Here is a 9,873-nt window from a genome sequence, read left to right as displayed (position 1 = left end):
CTCAGCCTCCCAAAGTGCCGGGCATGAGCCACCACGCCCGGCCTAAGACCAGTTTTTAAAACATATACTCTGCCACTCTACCACATAAACTTTCCAAGGTACTAAAACCAGTATATGCAAAGTTCTCTTAAGTTATCAGCTCTAAATTTTTTCCCCCAGCCCAATTAGGAGGGAATTAAGGCTTCACCCCCATTCCCACTTTCCAGCAGAAAAACAAGTAGGTGATAAAAATGGAATGTCATCCTAAAAGCTTTCTAAAAGTTGGGGAATTGTGGGTACATCTGCTTAAGCAATAAGAGTACAGATGATTTCTATTTTTGCTCAATGCATACATGACTTAAAGTCTATTTATTGAACAATTATAGGCCAAAAATACTGCTGATGCAAATGAGTATTATTAAACACTGTAGAATTTGCCAAACAACCCACAACAAATTAAATTGCTAATAACAAGCTAAACAGTGATTTATCATTAGCTAAGCAAAAAGAACAGCGGTTGAAAACCGTGGCCAATTCAAGATAACACAAAGACAAAATGTTCCTCCAGGAAATTATGGAAATTTATACTATCAGTGTACACTTGTGTGCAATGCTGGGAGGTATTGTGTGTCTGCCAGGCTTCTAGGTGGAATACCAAAATAGAGTGCTCAATAAATTACAGTAACTTTCTATTCTGAATGTACGAACACTATGTTTTAGTAAGCCTTAATAACTTGCTTAGTGTAGGTGGACTGGGTATCAGCTGCATTTGCGGGTGCAGCATCCATGCCTCTTTCTTCTGATTTTCCCTGGGGGAGCCATTATCCCATTTGCATCCATGTGCTTGGAAAGGGGCCAGCTTTAGAATGGGGCATGTAGGGCCAGGCGTGGTGGCTCACGCCTGTAATCCCAGCACTTTGGGAGGCTGAGGTGGGCAGAGCACCTGAGGTCGGGAGTTCGAGACCAACCTGGGCAATGTGGTGAAACCCTGTCTCTGCTAAAAATACAAAAATTAGCTGGGCGTGGGCTGGGTGTGGTGGCTCAAGCCTGTAATCCTAGCACTTCAGGCTGAGGCAGGCGGATCATGATGTCAATAGATCGAGACCATCCTGGCCAACATGGTGAAACCCTGTCTCTACTAAAAATACAAAAATTAGCTAGGTGTGGTGGTGGGTGCCTGTAGTCCAAGCTACTTAGAAGGCTGAGGTGGGAGAATCGCTTGAACCGGGGAGGTGAAGGTTGCACCACTGTACTTCAACCTGGGCGACAGAGTGAGACTCTGTCTCAAAAAAAAAAAACCAAAAAACAAAAAACTAGCGGGGCATGGTGGCATGTACCTGTAATCCCAGCTACTCAGGAGGCTGAGGCAGGAGAATCTCTGGAACCCAGGAGGTGGAGGTTGCAGTGAGCCGAGATCACGTCATTGTACACCAGCCTGGGCGACAGAGGAAGACTTCGTCTCAAAAAAAAAAAAAAAAAGAAAGAAAATGGGGCACATGACCCAGAGTGGCCAATCTCATCCCTCTGCTTGTAGTTCAGTCATAACCACATATCTCAAGATGAGCCAATGAGACATCATCCCGGGACTTCTGTTAGAATTGCTAACCCTGGAGAACGGAACTGACAGTTGATGAAGCCGACACAAAGGAGACCAGGGACTGGGCGGAGTGTTTTATGCCTGTAATCCCAGCACTTTGGGAAGCGGTGGCAGGATCTCCTGAGGCCAGGAGTTCGAGACCAGCCTGGGCAACATAGTGAGACTGTGTCTCTACAAAAAATAAAAAAAATTGGCCAGGCACAGTGGCTCATGCTTGTAATCTCAGCACTTTGGGAGACTGAGGTGGGTGGATCATTGGAGTTCAGGAGTTCGAGACCAGCCTAATCAACACGGCGAAATGCCGCCTCTACTAAAAATACAAAAAATTTAGCTGGGCATGGTGGCACATGCCTGTAGTCCCAGCTACTTGGGAGCCTGAGTCAGGACAATCGCTTGAACCTGGGAGGTGGAGGCTGCAGTGAGCCAAGATCGTGCCACTGCATTCCAGCCTGGGCAACAACAGAGCGAGACTCTGTCTCAGAACAAATAAATAAATAAATAAATAAGTGAATAAAAAATTAAGCCAGGCATGGTGGCACACACCTGTGGTCTTAGCTACTTGGGAGGCTGAAGTAGGAGGATCACTTGAGCCCAGGAGACTGAGGTTGCAGTGAGCCATGATCGTGCCACTGCACTCCAGCCCGGGCGACAGTGTGAGACCCTGTCTCAAATAAATATATAAATGAAAGAGACAGGTTCCAGATTCCTGAACCTGTTCAAGGACCTGGATCCAGCTGAGCCTGAAGCCAATGTGCGAGAGTCTCTTTTAAGAACTAAAGCAAGGGAGGGTGTGCTGGCTCATGCCTGCAATCCCAGTACTTAGGGAGGCCAACGCAGGCTGGATCATTTGAGTCCAGGAGTTTGATACCAGCCTGGGTAACATAGTGAGACCTTGTCGGTACAAATAAAAAAAAAATTAGTGGGGCGTGGTGGTGTCACATATAGTCCTAGCTACTTGTGAGACTGAGGTGGGAGGATGGCTTGAACCCGGGAGGCAGAGGTTGCCACTGCACTCCAGCCTGGGTGACAGAGCAAGACTCCATCTCAAAAATAATAATAATAATAAAAGATAGGCCTTGAACAGTGTCTCCCTCTGTTTCCCAGGCTGCAGTGCAGTGGCGTGATCTGGCTCATGGCAGCCTCAGCCTCCCAGATTCAAGCGATCCTCATATCTCACCCTCCCGAGTAGCTGGGATTCCACGCCTGCTAAATTTTGTATTTTTATTGAGACAGGTGTCACCATGTTGGCCAGGGTGGTCTCAAACTCCTGACCTCAAATGATCCACCCGCCTTGGTCTCCCAAAGTTCTGGGATTACAGGCATGAACCACCATGCCCGGCCAGCTGGAATTTTTCCAAAGGAACTTCGCTTCACAAGGATGTAGAGAGAAAGCAAAGAAGGCAGTAGAGACAATGCAATCCACATGAAAAAGGAAACTCACAAAATGAAAGTTCTCGTCCCCAGGTTTTACTAAAGGCTGCATCAAGACTTGTTGGTGCCTCCTGACATGAGTGTGATTCCTGTCCTTAGCATTCATTGATCTCAGATGCTAGGCATCTGGTGGTGAGAATCCCGCGTGCTGTGCGTCTTCCCACGAGGGCTTTTGGGTTTCGTTTGAAGGTGGAGGGAGATGTTATTTTGTACATGTATCTTGTAGGCTATGGAGAAAAGGGAGGGTTGGTTTGGATGCTTGTCCCAGCAGCATTTTTTTTTTTTTTTTGAGACGGAGTCTCGCTCCATCGCCCAGGCTGGAGTGCAATGGTGCCATCTCGGCTCACTGCAACCTCTGCCTCCTGGGTTCAAGCGATTCTCCTGCCTCAGCCTCCTGAGTAACCCAGCAGCATATTTGAACTGGTTTGGAGACTACATAGAGATGAAGAGAAAGCTACTTTCCTAAGACTTTGAGAGACTAAAGGCCCAGGGCACATTGCTTTGGGGCTCAGATGACATAGGGAAGACTGCACTGGGGAGATACGCCAAGCACCTCCTGCTGCATAACTAAACTGGCAGAAGGAAACCCTCCTGGAGTCAGGGCCAGTCCTACAAGATGTAAAGCTTCTCGAATGATCTTGCCCCCCAGGTGTCGTGGTGTGCACCTGTAATCCCAGCTACTCGGGAGGCTGAGGCACGAGAATCGCTTGAACCCAGGAGGCGGAGGTTGCAGTGAGCTGAGATCGCACCACTGCACTCCAGCCTGGGTGATGGAGTGAGACTCAGTCTCAAAAAAAAAAAAAAAAAAAAAAAAAAAAGGTAACTCAACAAAACACATGAAATAACAGATAACAGAAACAGTTTTATTACTCACAAATCCCAGAGAGAGGAGGACAGAGTGCCTTGCAGGGCAATAGGAAGAGGGGAGCCATTTGGGATGTGCAAGATCAACCAGAAGATGGGGGAAGTGTGAGGCGGGGGACCTGGAGGCCAAGGCCCTTACTGGGGTTCAGGGCATTACCCAAGAACGTTTCCCCTGGGGAGTTCTAATTGTTGTGTTTAGAGGAAAACAGCACAAATTCCGTGGGGTCACCCTGTGGCTGAGAGGTGGTCACTGCCACCCGTACACCAGGGGTTCCCAATCCCCAGGCCATGGACCGGTAACAGTGGCCTGTTAGAAACCGGGCCACACAGCAGGAGGTGAGGGGCAGCCGAATGAGCGAAGCTTCATCTGTATTTACGGCTGCTCCCCATTGCTCGCATCACCGCCTGAGCCCCGCCTCCTGTCAGATCAGTGGCAGCATTAGATTCTCACAGGAGCACGAATCCTATTGTGAACTGCACATGCGAGGGATCTAGGATGCGTGATCCTTATGAGAATCTTTTTTTGTTTGTTTGTTTCTTCGTTTTTTGAGATGGAGTCTCGCTCTGTCACCCAGGCTGGAGTGCAATGGCGCGATCTCGGCACGCTGCAACCTCTGCTTCCTGGGTTCAAGTGATTCTCCGGCCTCAGCCTCCCAAGTAGCTGAAATCACAGGCACCCACCACCATGCCTGGCTAATTTTTTGTATTTTTAGTAGAGATGGGGTTTTGCCATGTTGGCCAGGCTGGTCTTGAACTCCTGACCTCAGGTGGTCCACCTGTCTCGGCCTCCCAGAGTGCTGGGATTACAGGCGTGAGCCACTGGGCCCGGCCAGGAGCCCTGGTTTAGAATGAAGGGGTAGGAAATGCCTCTCCTGAAAGAAGCACTTCTTTTATCCCAAGCTTCCCTTCCTCGGCTAGTCAATCTTAGGAAATCCTTACGATTTCCTGCTTGTTAATCAAATATCTGGAATTGCCAATGTCCAGATACCTTATCGACTCAGGAGATCCTCACATAAACCCTCTTTGCCCCATGAGTGAGAAATGTGGTTTCCATGGCAGCGAGGTTAAAGTTCTCTCCAACTTTATTTCACTTCGTTTGGAGTTTAGTTTCCTTGGACAAGAAAAAAAAAAAAAAAAAGACACCGTATACTGATTTCTGTACAACTCACAGCGATTATGAATAACGTCCCTCTGGGAGAATATTTTATCTTTCCTTTCTGTCACCCCATAACACTTGCTAAAAAATAATGCCCAGAAGCGACGTGGTGCAAAGCCTAAAATTAAGGCTCAATGTTATGTGCTGCCTTGACAGCTGGTGAAACCAGGAGGGCTTCAAATGACTGATCCCAAAGTCCCCTCCCTACTCTGCCCTGATGGAGAAGTTACCACCCCTACCCCAAAGCCAAGCAGCTCTCTTTATTAAATGGACCAGGTACAGTTCCTGTTTATCTCTGAGCAGAGGGTTTCAGTTCCCTGCTGTCTGATTTATCAAGACAGGGGAATTGCAATAGAGAAAGAGTAATTCACACAGAGCTGGCCGTGCGGGAGACCAGAGTTTTATTATGACTAAAATCAGTCTCCCCAAATATTCAAAAAGCAGAGTTTTTTGTTTTTTTCTCTTTTTTCAGAGATGGAGTCTCCCTCTGTTACCCAGGCTGGAGTGCAGTGAGGGAGCAGAGTTTATTTTATTTTATTTATTTTTTTGAGACAGAGTCTTGCTCTGTTGCCAGGCTGGAGTGCAGTGGCGCAATCTCAGCTCACTGCAACCTCCACCTCCCGGGTTCAAGCAATTGTTCTGCCTCAGCCTCCTGAGTAGCTGGGACTACATGCACCCGCCACCACGCCCAGCTAATTTTCTTTTTTTTTTAATTTTTAGTAGAGACGGGGTTTCGCCATGTTGGCCAGGCTGGTCTCGAACTCCTGACCTCAGGTAATCTGCCTGCCTCGGCCTCCCAAAGTGCTGGGATTACAGGCGTGAGCCACCGTGCCCAGTCTGTCATCTTTGTTTTAAACTATAAACTATAAACTGAGTTTCTCCCAAAGTTAGTCCAGCCTACGCCAAGGAATGAACAAGGACAGCTTGGAGGTTAGAAGCAAGATGGAGTCGATTCAGTTAGATTTCTTTGACTGTCTCAGTCATAATTTTGCAAAGGCAGTTTCAACAGTGTCTCCTTTCTCCAGGCAGTGAGTGTAAATAACTAATAAATGGCTGTCAGTCTCATCTGTCCCATGTCAGGCATGTGTTTGGCCATCTGCATAACACTAGGGCAAGAATCCCCCCCTCACCAATGTGGTGAAAGGTAGGTAATTGAAATAAGCAGTGGCTTTTGTCCTTCCTTCTCTGCCTTCCCACCACCCAGCATATCTAAGGGTGATGAGACACACTGTTAGAAACACTGTATCTGGGCCGGGCGCTGTGGCTCATGCCTGTAATCCCAGCACTTTGGGAGGCCGAGGCAGGCGGATCACTTGAGGTCAGCAGTTCGAGACCAGACTGGCCAACATGGCGAAATCCCATCTCTACTAAAAATACAAAAATTTGCCGGGTGTGGTGGCGCACGCCTGTAGTCCCAGCTACTCAGGAGGCTGAGGCATGAGAATGGCTTGAACCCTGGGAGTTAGAGGTTGCAGTGAGCTGAGATAGTGCCACTGCACTCCAGCCTGGGTGACAGAGTAAGACTCCATCTAAAAAAATAAATAAATAAATAAAATAAAAAAAGAAACACTGTATCTGTAGGCTAGTGGTTTTAACAGGAATCAGGGCAGCCCCATGCAGGATGGAGCATCTCTGTGTGTGTGTGATTATAAAGCTCCTCAGAGGCTGGGCATGGTGGCTTTGGAGGCCAAGGTGGGAGGATTGCTTGAGGCCAGGAGTTCAAGACCAGCCTGGGCAACATAGTGAAACTCCTGTCTCTAATTTTTGTATTTTTAGTAGAGATGGGGTTTCTCCATGTTGGTCAGGCTGGTCTCAAACTCCTGACCTCAGGTGATCCACCCACCTTGGACTCCCAGAGTGCTGAGATTACAGTTGTGAGCCACCTTGCCCAGCCTATTCCTTCACTTTCTTAATAAACTTGCTTTCACTTGGCTCTGTGGACTCACCCTGAATTCTCTTGTGTGAGATCCAAGAGCCCTCTCTTGGGGTCTGGATAGGGACCCCTTTCCGGTAACAGGGTGACCCAAACCTTCACTCCTGAAGAGTCTGGGCTGTTACTTTCAATGGCAAAAACCACAATTAATTTTCCACCAACCGAATACATTGGTAGTCCTGCCTGAATTGGGTTCTTTTTCCATTGACTTTGATCACAGGGCATGGTAGTGCTGATGGCAAATCTGAACCTGCTACAAAACCTGCTGACTCCCAGACCTGTAAAGAAGAAAAAGAAGTTTTGAGATTAGTCCATTATGTAGAATTGTTGTTGCAAAGACCAACTAATATAATCTATAGCTATACATAGATACAGAAATACTGTGGTCTCAAATACATAAAAAGTTCAAATACCAGTGCAAAGGAAAAAAAAAAAAAAAGACTTCAGAGAAAAATGCCTTGGTTGGGTTTGGAAGATGGATGGGTTGGTTGCCCAGATCAGAAATAGAAATCATATTGCCTTCAACAAAAATAACAACAGTGGAATCAATGGGCTCCCATTGCTGAAAAGTTCAGGGATAGATTTAGCTTCGAGCATAGTTGGATTCAGATGACTGAAGGACATTGTCAGGACACTGTCTGTATTTCTCCACTCAGATTTCATTCTCAGGCAGGCTCTCCCCTCATGGTGGCATCATAGACCCCGATCATTCCAGGCTTAGTTTTTTCAAGTTTATCCACACCGATGGAAAAAGCTCATCTCTTTCCTGCCAGCTTCATTCAAAATCCTGGCACTATCTGATTGGCTCAGTGTGGGTCGTTTACCCTTCAACCAATCTCAGAGGACAGGGGATGGGACTCTTCCAAGGGGAAAGCCTACCCCAGGAGCTAGAGATGCAATCAGTCTTGTCCAGCCACACGGAAGGAGGAAGGTAAAGTCAAGGGGGTGGGTGGTTTTCCAAGGGAGAATCAGGCCATTGCTTTCAGGAAAAAAAGGAAATATGGATGCTGCACAATTGAAAAACACTATCTAGGCCGGACGCAGTGGCTCACTCATGCCTGTAATTCCAGCATTTTGGGAAGCGGAGTCAAGAAGATGGCTTGAGCGGTCTTGAGTTCAAGACCAGCCTGGGCAGTGTGGCAAAACCCCATGTCTACTAAAAATATAAAAATTAGCCAGGCATGATGGTGTGCACCTGTAATCCCAGCTACTTGGGGGGCTGAGGTGGGACAATTGCTTGAGCCCGGGAGGTGGGGGTTGCAGTGAGCCAAGATTGCACCATTGCACTCCAGCCTGGGTGACAGAGTGAGACACTGTCTCTGAAACAACAATAACAACAAAACCAAAACCCCCCCAAACTATCTATTTATCACAATGGGTGATTTTATTTGTCTACGTCTTCAAGTTGTTCTTTTTTTTGAGATGGAGTCTCGCTCTGTTGCCCACATTGGAGGGCAATGGCCTCATCTCAGCTCACTGCAACCTCTGCCCCCCAGGTTCAAGCGATTCTCCCGCCTCAGCCTCCCGAGTAGCTGGGACTACAGGTGTGTGCCACCATACCTGGCTAATTTTTGTATTTTTAGTAGAGATGGGGTTTCACTGTTGGCCAGGCTGGTCTCGAACTCCTGACCTCATGTGTTCCACCTGCCTCGGCCTCCCAAAGTGCTGGGATTACAGGCATGAGCCACCAAGCCCTGCCCATCTTCAAGTTTTTAACTGATGAGTATGTTACTTCCATAATGAAATAAGTATTGTTAAAAACGAAAGATTTTCCCAGGATTCTCTTTTACTTTGCTCATGTATTCTTTATGGCTATGTCCTTGTGGGGAATGTGCACTTGGAGAGACCCTACGATCGAATGGGAGAAAACCTTCCCAGCTATGACCAACTGGCTTCCTAAATGGACACCAGATGTTTGAATTGTGGGCCTTTTATGGTTTTTGTTTTTTGAGACACAGTCTCACTCTTTTGTCCAGGCTGGAGTACAGTGGCGCCATCTCGGCTCACTGCAACCTCTGCTTCCCAGGTTCAAGCGATCCTCCTGCCTCACCCTCCTGAGTAGCTAGGATAACAGGCACGTACCACCACGCCCGGCTAATTTTTGTATTTTTAATAGAGACGGGGTTTCACTATGTTGGCCAGGCTGGTCTCAAACTCCTGACCTCAGGTGATCCACCCACCTCGGCCTCCCAAAGTGCTGGGATTACAGGTGTGAGCCACTGTGCCTGGCTGAATTAAGGGCCTTTTAGAGGAACCATGCATTTCTGTGCGGATCACTGGTTTCTAAACTAGGCACTTTTGCTCTTTAATTTCTTAATATGTGTGATGCCAAAATTCTGTGGTGATCTGCTGCTGGAAAGATACCTAACCCTGTGAATCTTAGTGATGCCTTGTGGGTGCTGTGGGAGCTCTCCAGGCAGAAAAGACAACTAGGCCCTAGAATTAGGAGATGATTGTCCTGATAAGAGTTAGGATGGAGCCTATTAATAACTTTCCAAATGGCTAACCCAATGCTGAAATTACCCAAGAAGCATTAAGAAAGCAATGTGTTTACAGCAAAGAGCTCTACAGAGGTAGTTGTTAGAGATGCTTGATTTTTTTTTGCCCTATTTATTTATTTTATTATTATTATTTTTTGAAATGGAGTCTTGCTCTGTCGCCCAGGCTGGAGTGCAGTGGCGCGATCTTGGCTCACTGCAACCTCTGTCTCCCGGGTTCAAGCGATTCTCCCGCCTCAGCCTCCTGGAGTAACTGAGATTACAGGCACCCGCCACCATGCTGGCTAATTTTTGTATTTTTGTAGAAATGGGGTTTCACCCTGTTGGCCATGCTGGTCTCCAACTCTTGACCTTAGGTGATCCACCTGCCTCGGCCTCCCAAAGTGCTGGGATTACAGGCGCCTGGCCTTTTTTG

The 9,873-nt window shown here is 47.4% G+C and overlaps 2 annotated features.

The window, feature by feature from the left end:
- Positions 3,712-4,212: an enhancer, noted in NCBI's record as "H3K4me1 hESC enhancer chr19:13777229-13777729 (GRCh37/hg19 assembly coordinates)". NCBI's record gives its function as "activates a minimal SCP1, AML or CMV promoter by ChIP-STARR-seq in primed H9 embryonic stem cells {active_cell/tissue: H9 hESC(primed)}" and the evidence as "EXISTENCE:reporter gene assay evidence [ECO:0000049][PMID:30033119]".
- Positions 4,213-4,713: an enhancer, noted in NCBI's record as "H3K4me1 hESC enhancer chr19:13776728-13777228 (GRCh37/hg19 assembly coordinates)". NCBI's record gives its function as "activates a minimal SCP1, AML or CMV promoter by ChIP-STARR-seq in primed H9 embryonic stem cells {active_cell/tissue: H9 hESC(primed)}" and the evidence as "EXISTENCE:reporter gene assay evidence [ECO:0000049][PMID:30033119]".

Source organism: Homo sapiens, chromosome 19 (assembly GCF_000001405.40).
Source record: "Homo sapiens chromosome 19, GRCh38.p14 Primary Assembly".
NCBI classification, from domain to species: domain Eukaryota; kingdom Metazoa; phylum Chordata; class Mammalia; order Primates; family Hominidae; genus Homo; species Homo sapiens.
Note: the sequence above shows the minus strand (reverse complement) of the source record. Positions and strands in the feature narration are given on the sequence as shown.